The sequence below is a fragment of the Homo sapiens genome, chromosome 6 (genome assembly GCF_000001405.40).
Source record: "Homo sapiens chromosome 6, GRCh38.p14 Primary Assembly".
In the NCBI taxonomy this organism is placed as follows: Eukaryota; Metazoa; Chordata; class Mammalia; order Primates; family Hominidae; genus Homo; species Homo sapiens.
This window is the reverse complement of record NC_000006.12, coordinates 85,522,042-85,537,232: the sequence shown is the minus strand read 5'-3', so window position 1 is coordinate 85,537,232 and position 15,191 is coordinate 85,522,042. Positions and strand designations below refer to the sequence as shown.

General features: G+C 36.2%; 1 protein-coding gene across 44 annotated transcripts in view; it reads left to right on the top strand.

The window, feature by feature from the left end:
- The window catches only part of SNX14 (sorting nexin 14), an 88,363-nt gene that overhangs the window by 56,626 nt on the left and 16,546 nt on the right, over positions 1–15,191 (top strand). For all 44 annotated transcript variants that reach the window (NR_146774.2, NR_146775.2, NR_146779.2 and 41 more), the window contains 5 exons: positions 309–441; positions 3,433–3,634; positions 6,958–7,041; positions 8,871–8,971; positions 10,996–11,107. Coding sequence is in view for 38 of the 44 variants with exons in the window: in XM_047419128.1 (XP_047275084.1) it covers positions 309–441; positions 3,433–3,634; positions 6,958–7,041; positions 8,871–8,971; positions 10,996–11,107 (632 nt within the window). In the remaining 6 variants the exon portion in view is untranslated. The remainder of the gene's footprint in view (positions 1–308; positions 442–3,432; positions 3,635–6,957; positions 7,042–8,870; positions 8,972–10,995; positions 11,108–15,191) is intronic.

The window sequence follows — 15,191 nt, the reverse complement described above, 5'->3', positions numbered from 1 at the left end:
CTCTCATCTTTTAAAAATTCTAATCCTGTTAATATTTTGAAGTTAATACTAGGTAAATTTTGAGTGTTTATAAATAAATATTGTCCCATTTATTCATCCACCAAATTTAAACTTTAAATACTGTGTCATTTTTGACTTCTGAGATGTTGATACTTAATCCGTGTATGAAAACTCCAAAAGTTATGTTAGCTATACCTTTAGTTTATCATTTTCAAAACTGTTTTTCTTTTTTTTAATAATGGTTTTCAATAAACTAGACTGTTGTGATAATTTGCTATGTACTTGATACATTTTTGTTTAATATTCAGGAACACACAGAAAAGGGGAGAATCATTTGGAATCAGCAGAATAGGTAGCAAAATTAAAGGAGTATTCAAAAGTACCACAATGGAGGGAGCTATGTTGCCTAATTATGGTGTAGCTGAAGGTGAAGATGATTTTGTAAGTAAAATGTATCAATTTGATTTATTTATAACTTCAGACTTACTATGACATAAAAATTAGATATACTCATTATTTTCCTTTTTTTGGAGAATCTGTGTATTCTGTTTAATACTTTACCTTTATCTTCTTACTTCAGACTTCCTTTGTATTTCTCATTCTTTCATTAGTTGTGATAGTTTCATGACGTGAATCTAATTTTTAAAATTCCTGAGAACTGTGTTATTGCTTATTAAGGCAGAATAGTTCCTGTTAAGCTGAGATACTTCTAATAGTCAAGCAGTTTACCGTCTTTTGGTTAAGCTTCAAATTCTGATGTTACCTTTTTCCCACCATGTACTCCAGGTATACAGAGTTGCTAATAGATGCTCTAACTCCTTGCTTACTTAAACTACAGTCTGTTGACAAGCAGCATTGGCATTACCTGGAAGCTTGTATAAATACAGAATCTCAGGCACTATCCTAGACTTACTGAATCAATTTGCATTTTAACAAGATTTCCAGTTGACTTATATAAACATTTTACTTACCATCCTATTTTATTTCTCTGTATTTTTGTCCTGCTTGAAATGCCCTTCATTTGTGTATTGACCTAGAAAATTCATAGGCATCCTTCAAAATGCAACTGTTCCCCATAAACCTTTACCCAAATCCCCAAGTTGAACTGAACATTTCCTCCTTTTGTGTCCCTATTATATCGTATGTTAAAGCTTATACCATAATGTATTTCAAGTTACGTGTTATGATTGTCTTTCCTATCACATAGTCCCATAAAGGCAAGTATTGTCTCATTTGTACTTTTTATTTTTATTGAATAGAGATCTTGGATTCTCATTTTGCCTTTTAATGACCCTGGGCACTGGGGATGAAAAGATGATTAAGACGTAGACCTCGGCTTTAAGAAATTCACTAACGTGGGTATAAAAGGGGTGTTTAGTACTGATTGGATTGATGATGACCAAGAAGGAGGAAAGGTGGGGTGACAGGAGTAAACCCTTTTCTTTACCCCTTCCTTTTGACCTTTGTCCCATTGCCTTCATGTAAGGGTCACTGATTCTTCATAATAATTTAAATGGAATAAAATCTTATTTAAACCTTTTTTTATTAATTCAAATAAAGCCGTTTTTTTATGCCTTTATTTTTTCCCTGTAAGTGTGGGTAGTAATTTTTTTTTTTTTTTTTTTTTTGAGACGGAGTCTTGCTCTGTCACCCAGGCTGGAGTGCAATGGCACGATCTCAGCTCACTGCAACCTCCGCCTCCCGGGCTCCTGCCTCAGCCTCCTGAGTAGCTGGGGTTGCAGGCGCCCGCCACCATGCCCAGCTAATTTTTGTGGTTTTTTTTGGTAAGGATGGGGTTTCACCATGTTGGCCAGGCTGGTCTTGAACTCCTGACCTCGTGATCCACCCACCTGTAGTCCCAAAGTGTTGAGACTACAGGCGTGAACCACTGCACCCAGCCTTGGTGTGGGTAGTTTTATGCTGGGTGTGGTGGCTCATATTTGTAATCTCAGTACTTTGGGAAACTGAGGCAGGAGGATTGCTTGAGCCAAGGAGTTCAAGACCAGCCTGGGCAACATGGTGAGACCCTGTCTTTACAAAAATTAAAAAATTAGCTGGGTGTGATGGTGCCCAACTGTAGTCGTAGCTACTTGGGAGGATTAGTTGAGCTCAGGAGGTCAAGGCTGCAGTGAGCCATGTTTGTGTCACTGTACTACAGCCTGGGTAACAGAATAAAAGCCTGTCTCAAAAAAAAAAAAAAAAAAGTATGGATAGAAGAAAGTAGATCAGAGAAAGTCTTTTTCAAAATAATGTTTATGTTTTCTAATTTTAAGCATATTCTCAGTTTTTTAATAATATAGAACAGTGGAAAAAATTTAAATGCCACGTACGTGCATATCTACCACCCAGAAACCGCTTCTATTAATAGTTTGGTGATTTTCTTTAAAAAAAAAAAAAAAAACTTTCCCTTTTCACCCCTGTAGACTACATTTTATATATAGTTTGCTATCTTTTCTCTATTCGATATTATAACAAAAGTATTTAACCGTGTTATTATGAACTTTTAAAACATAATTTTTTGTGGAAGAAGATGTATTTTTTATTTTTTGCCTTCCCAATTGCTTGATACACAAGTTGTACTTTAGCTTTAGGAATAGGAGGCTATCTTTAAAAAGCTGAGAGAGTTTGCTTTGTTTTATAGTGACCCAAGGAAGAAGGAAATTCTTGATTGGGATTAAAGATAGTAGTAACAGAAAGTTGGAGAAGCAGGCAAACTAATGTTTAATACTATCAAGGGAAAACTCAGGGACAGTAAGGTGCTAACGCAGACTAAGATGATGCCATTTAGAATTTAGAAGACACTGTGCTAGTTCTAAGCCGTGGGACCTTGGGGAATCCTCTTTGTCTTGTTTAGGAAGTTGAGGGAAAAGAGAAGTTTCCAGTTTCACTGCCGAGTGATCCTAAATTGGTTTGTGATCCTAAGATGGACATTTAGGATGTCTTATTGGAGACTTAGGAGACATTATCTTGAACTCCTGACCTCAGGTGATCCACCCACCTTGGCCTCCCAAAGTGCTGGGATTACAGGTGAAAGCCAATGCGCCCAGCCTGACATTATCTTTCAGAACCCTTGTTGTGATCATTTGGCAGCAGTGCCTACTTGCTCTGTGTTTCCCAGGCTAGTCTCAAACTCCTGGGCCCAAGCAATCCTCCCACCTCAGCTTCTGAAAGTGTTGGGATTATAGGCGCTGTCCCCGGCCTATTATATTTTCATATACAGATGATGTAAGAAAACTTGGAGTTGATGCTAGTAACTTGTTAGTTTTTAACTTTTTACCTTTACTTTTTCAGTAGAAAATTTAATATCACCTAGCTTTCAGGGTCTTAAAAATTATCAATTGATATGGGCATATTACTTTATACTTGTATCTCATATGCTGTAGTTCTAAAGGTATTGGGAATATTAAATTCATCCTGGTAATTTTTTTCCAGATTGAAGAAGGTATTGTTGTAATGGAAGATGATTCTCCAGTGGAGGCTGTGAGCACACCTAATACTCCCCGAAACCTTGCTGCATGGAAAATTAGCATTCCATATGTAGACTTTTTTGAGGATCCCTCCTCTGAAAGGAAGGAGAAAAAAGAAAGAATTCCTGTGTTTTGTATTGATGTTGAAAGAAATGATAGAAGAGCAGGTAGGAAGCTTTCTGAGCACCTTTCTTAAAAGATGCCCATGAATGAGTCTGTTGTTATCAGGTATGATAAACATTTTGCCACTTCTAACTAACAAATATGGCTGCATATCCAAAAGAGAAGTGTCCAGAACAGAAAATTGAAAGAAAGCTTAGGATGTCCTAGGTTATCTTCATAGCAGTAACTAATTAACTAATTCAATCAACACTTATTGAGTGATGCCTGCTAGACACCTGACAGTCCATCAGGCATTCAATGCAATGTTCTTTTAATGGTTTTGTTGCCATCATTAGCCATTGCACTTACTTAATTATCATTAATCCATATAGCACTGTATCAGGTATTATTCTAGTTTAATTAAGACAGCGTTTTCTCTCACCCATTTTGTGGGCTAATTAGAATTGATGAAAATATGGCCAGGCATGGTGGCTCACGCCTGTAATCTCAGTACTTTGGGAGGCCAAGGCAGGTGGATTACCTGAGGTCAGGAGTTTGAGACCCGCCTGGCCCACATGGCGAAACCCTATATCTACTAAAAATACAAAAATTAGCCACACGTCTTGGTGCGTGCCTGTAGTCCCGGCTACTCTGGAGGCTGAGGCATGAAGATCGCTTCAACCTGGGAGGCGGAGGTTGCAGTGAGTCGAGATCGTGTGACTGCACTCCAGCCTGGGAGAAAGAGTGAAACCCTGTCTCCAAAAAAAAAAGAACTGATGAAAATATGGTTAAAACTTTACAAGCTTCTTCATGTTTTGACATATTTTTTCTTTCGGTTATGTCAGGTATAGACTGTAATAGAGACCGGGTTTAACAGTATCTGTATGTAGCAGGATAAACAGTCACCACTTTAAAGTCCTACTTGTAACTTGATAAAAAGAAATCAAATTAAAAAATAAAATAGTCACCACTTTGCACTTTTTCCAAGAAGTGGGGCAGTGAGTGTAACGAAAAGCACCACATTTAGAGAATGATGAGCAGAAAATAAAGTTGAGCTCAGGAAGAGGGAGTTATGAGGAAAGAAGGAAAAAAAGTGGCAATGTTAGAAAGTGGTTTTGAGAGGATAACTAAGTAGTAGTGTGAAGATCAGTGCTAATTATTCTTACTTATTTTTCAAAAAGTATTAGGTTTTCTGATTTTCCTCAGAAGTTGATCCTGTTTCAAGAACATGAGACATAGGAATTGGGAGGGAAGAATGCCCAGAGTAGCTAGTTATAATTTTTCCTGTCATAATTAAATATCAGGCAGCATCTTCTGTCCAGGTCTTAGACCATACTGCCTGATTTTGCTGGAGTTGCTGTTCAGTCTTAGTAGTTGCTGTTCTTTCAGCATTCTGACAGGTGGACAGCTAAACCATTGTCAATAATAGAGTCAGATTTCCATATCAAACTTAGTTTTGTTTGGAATATACTTTTGTTTTTGCTTTAAGACAACTATTTTTAATTTTTATGCTTTATCTTAAAAGGTTAATCATTTAACATAAATTATAATAGTTCATGGCTCAGTAATTCAAAAATAAAAACCAAAAAATCTTAAAACTTTTATTTTATTTTTTAATTTAATTTTTTTTCTTTTTGAGAGAGGGTCTTGCTTTGTTGCCCAAGCTGGTGTGCAGTGGCATGACTGTGGCTCACTACAGCCTCAACTTCCCGGGTTCAAGTGATCCTCCCACTTCAGCCTCCTGAGTAGCTGGGACTATAGGTGCATGTCACCACGCCCAGCTAATTTTAAAATTTTTTTGTAGAGAAAAGGTCTCACTATGTTGCTGAGGCTGGTCTCAAACTCCTGGGCTCAAAGCGGTCTTCCTGCCTTGGCCTCCTAGAGTACTAGGATTACAGGTGTGAGTCACTGTGCTGGGCCAAAAGCTTGTATTTTAAAGATAATTTTTGTCAACAGTGCTGCAGACTTCTACTGTCAATGTAATGTGCTCTTAGAAACCATGATTATGAGGGAGAAAAAAAGTATATCATTTAGTATATTGATTTTATACGGATAACAAAATAACAATTTCAGCATTAAAAACCTAGCCTAAATATGCTATGGATCTTTTAAGACCAGTGTTGAAGAAAACTACGATTTGCTTTATATGTTGTGATCAGGTTGGTTTTTTCTAAATAGAAAGAAGTGTTGTTTTGGATGATTGTGGTATTGGTTCACTCGATCTACTGCATTCTCAAATCTATGGTAGATTGATGTTAGATGTTAACAATAACAGTTAACATTTATGAGGTATTTACTCTGTGCTATGCACTGTACAGAAGTGCTTTATGTGGATTATTTTATGTGATAGACACAATTATTGTTATTCTACATCTAAGCACTGTAAGATACAGTGGTGTTATTTGTTCAAGGCCACATGGTAAATGGGGGTGGGGTTAACTGGGATTAGAACAGGCAGTCTGATTCCAGACTTACTCTTTAAACCATTACTATGTGCTGCCCAATTTAGTAGCCACTAGCTGCATGTGGTAATTAAAATCAAATTAAATTGTATTAAAATTTCAGTTCTTTAGTTGCATTAGCTGCCTCTCAAGTACTCAGTGGCAACATGTGGCTAGTAGCTACTATATTAATGCAGATCCATGGAGCATCTTCGTAACTGCAGAAAGTTCTATTGGATAGTACTGCTCTATACTATATTAAATTAGGACAATATGGTAAATATTTGAGAAACCCCAAATCAATAAAAAAAACTTATGAAATACATCATTTTGGTGATATTTTAAAAATAATCATAATTGCATGATATTTTAAAGTTTCTGTCAGCTCTGATTCTGTTATAGAAAAAGTATATTTGAGATAACTTCATAAATAGATGAAATTTATCAGTCACTTCTAGGTAACTAAAATATGGGATAAAATGTGTTAATAATGTTATGCCAAAAATAACAAATTACAACTGTGGAATAATGTCCAGCTTTGTATTCTTTTTTCTTTTTCTTTCTTTTTTTTTTTTTTTGAGACAGAGTCTCGCTCTGTTGCCCAGGCTGGAGTGCAATGGCGCAATCTCGGCTCGCTGCAACCTCTGCCTCTTGGGTTCAAGCGATTCTCCTGCCTTAGCCTCCTGAGTAGCTGGGACTACAGGTGCCTGCCACCACACCTGGCTAATTTTTGTATTTTTAGTAGAAGCGGGATTTCACCATGTTGGCAAGACTGGCCTCGAACTCCTGACCTCAAATGATCCACCCACCTTGGCCTCCCAAAGTGCTGGGATTATAGGCGTGAGCCACCGTGTCTAGCCAGCTTTGTATTCTTAATGTTTTAAATATGGCATTCTTTTAGGTTTTGAAATTATTTGTTACTCAGTGTGTGTGTACTCAATTTACAGTTGGACACGAGCCTGAACATTGGTCTGTCTATAGAAGATATCTTGAATTCTATGTACTTGAATCAAAACTAACAGAATTTCATGGTATGTTATTCTTTTTGGATAAAACATTACATTTCAGCATTAGCATTCTTTAAAACTATGACACCAGATTAATTTTTTTATTTTAAGTAATTGAAATACAAGAAATACAACATTGATGCTTGTGTATACTTTCATTGATAACGGAAATGTACTGTTTATCTTATTTTTATTTATCTGTATATTTAAAGTTCTTGCAATGTACATTTATGCTTTTTTTAAATAAAATCAAAATTTAAAAATAGCTATTTTAAAACTATATTTTAGAAAGGGTTCTCTATTTACTCTTTTTCGTTCTTCCTGTCTCATCAATGTATTTATTTTGGTTAATATCAAGGATATAGTTATAAAGAATTTCCAGCTATTTTTTTTTGTATTTAGCTTGGTGAATTTTATTTGTGTGTTCTAAATCTTTTTATTTTAGAAAAGCTCTGTAGAGTGTCCCCTGATCCAAATTCAGGTTGGTTTTTATTGAGAAGGGTAAGGAACGTTCCTGTCCCTGCTGTAAGAGCAAAGCCTGTGATAAGGATGATTATTATAGGAAGATAAAGAATATAAGGTCCCACTCCATATTTTTGCATAGATTTTGAGTTTGTACTTGTGTTCAAATGGTTTTATCTTTCTCTCTACCAATCTGGTGCAGTACCATCCTCGTTCTTTCTCTGAAAACTACTTTTTTTGTTTAAGGCTGAGAGAAGACAATTTATCTCCATACTTTTCTTTTTTGATGCTAAAATTTCTAAAGCCAGCCCTATCTGAGAAAGCACATTCATGCTTGCTTCCTTCCTTCCTTCCTTCCCTTGTTTCCTTCCTTCATTTCCTTGTTTCCTTCCTTTCTTTCTTCCTTCGTTTCCTTGTTTCCTTCCTTTCTTCTTCGTTTCCTTGTTTCCTTCCTTCATTTCCTTATTTCCTTCCTTCCTTCATTTCCTTGTTTCCCTCTTGTTGCTCAGGCTGCAGTGCAGTGGCACGATGTTGGCTCACCACAGAGATCTTGGCAACCTCTGCCTCCTGGGTTCAAGTGATTCTCCTGCCTCAGACTCCCGAGTAGCTGGGATTATAGGCATGTGCCACCACACCTAGCTAATTTTGTATTTTTAGTAGAGACAGGGTTTCATCATGTTGGTGGCCTTTTTTTTTTTTTTCTGAGGTGAGTCTCACTCTGTCACCCAGGCTATAGTGCAGTGGTGTGCTCTCAACTCCCAGCAACCTCCACCTCTCAGGTTCCAGCGATTCTCCTGCCTCAGCCTCCTAAGTAGCTGGGATTACAGGCATTTACCACCACGCCTGGCTAATTTTTTTGTATTTTTAGTAGAGATGGGGTTTTATATCACGTTAGTCTTGAACTTCTGACCTCAAGTGATCTGCTCGCTGTGGCCTCTCAAAGTGCTGGGCTTACAGGTGTGAACCACTGCACCCAGCCTACATTGTGATTTTAAGCCATTTATATAGCATTGACAAGATGCTATCTTTTTTCCCTGTGAGAAATTAGTTATTTCTTTAGTAAGGTTTTGTCTAGTAGAATCTCACCAATTTCAAAAAAATCTCATAATAATTTTTTGAAGCTGTTTTACTAGGATAGAAAGCCAAAAAATCTGTGTCAAACAGTGATTGTTACAAGAGTAATATTTTGTTTATCAGTAGACTCAAGTTCTTTGGTCTGGACTTCTGACTTGAAGCTCTCTGGTTTTGTGAAGATTTTCAAAGAGTAATGTCACATCTGTACAAGGCAGTATTGCTAATCTGAATGTGCCATAGTAAATTTTAAAACCTAATTTAAGGTTTTAAAAATAGTAGCAGAACACAGTAATAACTATAATATATACTAATTTCAGGTGCATTTCCTGATGCCCAGCTTCCTTCTAAGAGGATCATTGGCCCCAAAAATTATGAATTCTTAAAGTCAAAGAGGGAAGAGTTCCAAGAATATCTACAGGTATAACATCAACTGTATTAATTCCAAATGTTGCTAATCATAGCATTCTCTAATTTGTCTCTTTTTCTCTTGTGTATATGTTCTTTGGTTTATAAATACCTGTCCATGTAGATTTTAATTTAGAAAATATTTTTCCTTGTGAATTTTAGAATGAATTTTTGTCAAAAGTATATTACTTACCCTCCCTCCAAATTGAATGAAATGCAAGATATTTTCTTAGGGGAAGAAAAATCTTTACTTAGTTTTAGGCTAGTTACAACTTTGTATAGGACATTAAAAAAAGGAACTTGGTGTAAAAGATTAGATGCATTTGAAGAATACTGGATAGTATTCTTAGAATATTTGTTACTGTTTGTTCTGTTTTCTGTTTGATTTTTGTGTTTAGCTTTTTCTGAACTTTGGAGTCTTCTCTCCTATGTTATTCCTCAGTCCCTTTTCTTTTGGGTTTATAGATATTTTTCCAATTTCCTGGGATCAACTCTACTATTTGCTACGTGGAGTTGAATTCCATTTTTCTCAGTGTGTGCACGTTACATTATGTTAAAATGTATGGGTGTATTATTTAAATACATGGTACAGTCATCATAAAAGTTACTTGAGACATCAGGCTCTCCAAGACTAATAAACATCTTTCTTTATCAAGTGCTTACAAGGGAGGATACTTTCAATTTGTTAAAAAAATACTTTATTTGGGCATGGAATTTTATATTTTTTAAGAATTTTTCATTCAGTTAAATTTGGATGCTTCCTAGCCAAAAAGAAAGACTTTTAAATTAAAAATACTCAGCAGTATAAAGGAGTATTTACACTTTATTTCCTGTCTCTGAACTGTTGAATGCTTTCAACCCTAAGTTGAAAAAAAAATATATATATATAGGTATCTTCTGTATAAATTTTTGGTGATATGAAAATTGAAATATGAAATAATAATTAACTACTGCAAGGATGTTTGGTTAAAACACAAAGCTATGTTTTTGTTGATACTATTAACTCATTATTTGAACCAGCTAATTATTTCTACAAACTAGAGTACTTCACTCTGGAAGAAATATTTTCTTGTAATATGGATTTAAATTAAATTTTTAATGTAGATTTCTGCTTATAAAGTTTTGTGACTTTCATAGTTAGGAAACTATTAAGACTGGGTTAATTTTGGCTTTTAAAAGTCTTTTTTTAATTTTTTTTATTTTTTGAGACAGAGTTTTGCTCTTGTCATCTAGGCTGGAGCGCAACGGCACGATCTCAGCTCACTGCAACCTCCACCTCCCGAGTTCAACCGATTCTCCAGCCTCGGCCTCCCAAGTAGCTGGGATTACAGGCACCCACTGCCACTCCTGGCTAATTTTTGTATTTTTAGTACAGACGGGGTTTTGCCATGTTGGCTAGGCTGGTCTCGAACTCCTGACCTCAGGTGATCCACTGTATCAGCTTCCCAAAGTGCTGGGATTACAGGCATGAGCCACCGCACCCAGCCCATGTTATCTTATTAGAAAACAGTGTTGCAGGAAGAACAGACAACAGATTTTTCAAGTTATTTCACATTTCCCCATCTAGTTTTCTGCAAAACCCTTTATGCCGACTTTTAAAAATTTATCAGGACAGCTGTATCATGCTATCATTTTTTTCTATAGTTGAGAAACTGGAAATAATAGTAGCTAATGTTTAGTTTTACTTCCTGTGTGTCAGATACTGTGCTAAATGCTTTATATAACAATACTATAGGTAGTGTCATTATTCTCATTTTATAAGTTAGGAAACTGACTCTTGGGCAATTTAGGAACTTTTCTAGTGGCACTTAGCTAGCATGTGGAAGAGCCAGGATTCGAACCCATTCATATCTGACTATAAAGGCCAAGGTCTTACCTACTATCCTATATTCTTCCCTCTAAAAATGCAGTTGCTTTGTTATTATTTTAAATATAAAGTAGCTTTTGGGGATTTAAAATTTAAAGAAATTAAAATACAGTTTTGACTACTCCTCTAGATTTCTAAACTGTGTTTTCCGTTTTTTTTGTTCATTCAAGAAACTTCTGCAGCATCCAGAACTGAGTAATAGTCAACTTCTGGCAGACTTTCTTTCCCCTAATGGTGGGGAAACACAATTTCTTGATAAGATACTACCAGATGTAAATCTTGGTAAGTCAATTTAAAGAATCATTATAAGATAATAAGCTGAAAAGAATCAGCATTTTCAGATTAACTTAGAAAAATATATAGTATAGCCTATGGTAAACTCCGAGGGCCCTTATTTCTGCATTTAGAGATAAATTGTCAGATGCTGACCTTAATCTGTCCATTTTGAGTTCTGATTATTTAAGCAGTCACTTCTAGCCATTTGTCATCACAGAAAATTACATTAGTCAATGTATTTATAAATTTATTTTGTTAAATTTAAATATAAGAAAAGTAGAGATGGTATTTTTAGCATATGCGAATCAGTGTTTTCATCATACAGTATATGAATAGCTGTGTTATTTGAAATTTGTCATTAAATATCTCAAAAAGACTAGATCTGTTAACATTTAACTTAGTTTAAGACAGTTGCATTTTTCCACGTCTTTAAGTTATATCATGCTCTTCCTCATTTTGTATTATAAAGCATTACAAATATTCCTTAAAACCTAATTTTTGGGTCACTTGTAGTAGTTATTTAGGTAAGTAAACTTTGTATAAACTAGCTTTTAATTAACTTGAATTAATCTGTCATTCTGAGCAAATTTCATTTCATGGTACTTCTGTACATGAATTTTATTTAAAGTTTAATTGTTGGCTATAAAACTGGCATAGAATGTACACATGAGATTGTGGAAATATTTCTGCTTTGAATATCATTGTTAATTTGTTTTGAATTTTTCATTAGTAACAGAAAAATAATTTAGTTTCTTGATCTTTAATTTCAAAGTAACTTTATAATTAGTAAAACCATTTTGCAGTTAGTAGATTGCCTTATTTCTACTAGTACTATTGTAAAGGAAATTAAGATGTGTGAGAAAGCTTATATTTGGTCTATTTTTTAAAATATTAATTTTTATTATGACAGATATAGAATCTGTAGTCAAAGCACAGTCTGCTGGGATACTGAAGACCTTATTATATTTTTACTATTAGAGATTGAAGTTAGTATTTCCTGAAGATCATGTTTCAGAAAGTGTTTTTGTGTTGTAATACTTGAGCACTTAATTTCAGCTATCACTTTTGGATGAATTATTTATTATAGTTTGTCTAAATAGCAACAAGTTCAGCAGAAATCCAGATAGATCATCTTCTCTAACCACTAATATAGTACATACATTACAAGTACATGTATAAAAAATAGAAATATAACAAAGGATTCAATTAAATAAATGGTAGTCTGAAATTTTCCAAAGAATCATCCCATAAACCCCTGGCATGCCTCCATTCTGTTTTAAAAACTGTTCCTTAATTACTGTTCCACCTGCTGGTTATCAGTGACTGGATTTTTTTTTTTTTTTTTTCTGTGATGGAATCTTGCTCTGTCACCCAGGCTGGAGTGCAGTGGTGTGATTTTGGCTCACTGCAGCCTCCACCTCCCAGGTTCAAGCGATTCTCCTGCCTTAGCCTCCCAAGTAGCTGGGATTACAGGTGCCCACCATGACACCCAGCTAATTTTTTTGTAGTTTTAGTAGAGATGGGGTTTCACCACGTTGGCCAGGCTGGTCTTGAGCTCCTGACCTCAGGTAATCCATCTGCCTTGGCCTCCCAAAGTGCTGAGATTACAGGCGTGAGTGAGCACCATGCCTGGCCAGTGATCTCATTGTTAACAGAGACATCTCACTCCTCAGTCTTCTTGACCTCCTCTGCAGCATTCTTCCCTTTAGAAATTCTTTGCCTTTGGCATTCATTATTGCATATTATTCTCTTAACTGTTTCAGTCCTATCACTACATTTTCATCCTACACAATCCTCCTTTATCTCTATACACATAAATATAGGTGTTTTCTAAGCTCTGTCCTCAATTTTCCTCTTGCCAGTCTCCACAGAACCTATTATTTTAATCTTTACCTATATATAAATGTTTCTCTTTTTCTTTCTTTCTTTCTTTCTTTCTTTTTTGAGATGGAGTCTTGGTCTGTCGCTGTCGCCCAGGCTGGAGTGCAGTGGTGCCATCTTGGCTCACTGCAACCTCCGCCTCCCGGGTTCAAGCAGTTCTCCTGCCTCAGCCTCCCTAGTAGCTGGGACTACAGGCACACGCCACCTAGCCCAGCTAGTTTTTGTATTTTTAGTAGAGACTGGTTTCACCATGTTGGCTAGGATGGTCTCGATCTCTTGACCTCGTGATCTGCCTGCCTAAATGTAGTCTGACCTTTAGTTGTACCTTTCTAATACCCAGTTGGACGTCACCATCTGATCTATCATCTTTTCAGAACCAACGTGTAATTCTGTTAATGATACTACAGTCATTTCAGCCATGCTTGAAATTTTACCATTACCTCTTAGATTTTCTCTCCCATGCTCTCACTACACATCTTTTTTTTTTGGAGATGGAGTCTCTCTGTCACCCAGGCTGGAGTGCGGTGGCGTGATCTCAGCTCACTGCAACTTCTGCCTTCTGGGCTCAGGCATTCCTCCCACCTCAGCCTCCTGAGAACTACAGGTGTGCACCACCACACCCAGATAATTTTTGTATTTTTAGTAGAGATGGGGTTTCACCGTGTTGCTCACGCTGGTCTTGAACTAAGTTCAAGTGATCCGTCTGCCTCAGCCTCCCAAAGTGCTGGGATTACAGGTGTGAGTCACCATGCCCTGCCTTACACATGTTTTTAGTTCCCAGATTCTGTACGTTTTTCCTATTTGGTGTCTAACTCATGTCTTCCTCTTCATTCCCTTTACTGTTTCCTTAGTTCAGTTTTCATTGCCTCTTATTTGAACTGTACTAAGTTTCCTATCTAGTCTCCTGGATTCCCATCCTCCTCCTGCTCTCTATCAGTTTATCTTATGTAACATAGCCACGTTAATCTTCCTAAAGTACACGTTTGACCATATCTAAAATCCTTTGGTTTTTCTGTCTTTGTTAACTTAGGAAATCTTTATTGTTTAATATGGAACCCTCTGAAAATCACTGTGTGCTTTGATACCAATATAACTTACCGGTATTATTTCTTACTACTTCCTTTCATACTTTAGCAAAATTGAATCCCCTATATTCTTTTGCTCCAATGCCTTTGTTTATACTCTTTTCTTCTACTTTAAATGCCCTTCCATATTACCCATTTTTGAAGATCCAGCTGAAAGAAAGGGACGGCTGGTTCTTCTTAGGGAAACAGGGAAGCCTTTCTTAGGAAGGTATCATTTGTCTAATCTTGAAAGATTAATAGAAATCGGCAGGAGATAGATAAGGAGATCATTCCAGTTGGAGGGACTGGCATGTACAAGAGGCATGAAAGAGGGAATCAGCTGGTAATGTTTGGAGTATCTTGAAGGTACAGTACATGCAAGAGAGTGAGACTAGAAAGATAAGTTATGGCCGAATGTGTCATGATAAGGAATTTGGACTTGATCATCTAAGCAGGGGGAAAGAGACACTGATAGATTTTAAACAATGAAACCTAATCAGATTTAGGTTTCAGAAATCCAACTCTAGCAGCAGTTTAAAGGATGATGCTAAAGGTACTTAGAATCAGTATCTGGGAATAAACCTAGTAGAGTATGTGTATGCATGACCATTATAGAGAAAATTGTAAACTTTTATTGAGAGATATTAAAGAAGACCCAAGAAAATAGAAATCGTATTCATTGTTTAGAAACCGCAATATTGTAAAGATGTAAATTTATCCCCAAGTTGATTTCTAGCTATAATACAGTCCCAATCCAAATCAAACAGGTTGTGTATGTGTGTATACCTTGAAGCTGAATCTATAATTTATATAAACACGCATAGGACCAAGTAGGTAACACACTTTAGAAGAAGAACAAGGTTGGAGAGCCCTATCATATGTCTTGACTTATAACACCAAATCAGTAGACCCATGGAACAGAACAGAGATCCCCAAACTGATCTATACGTCTGTGGACACTTGATTTGTGAGCATGGCTCTGCAGAATGGGGAAGGAGTCAGCTTTTCAAGAAATGCTACTGGGACATTGGGTATACATTTGAACTCCTACGAAGTAGCCACATTTAAGTAGACTAAAGTCCTATATAGAAACCTGTAAAGGTATTAGAAAATAGCAGAGATAAATCCATGTGTTCATAGTCAAC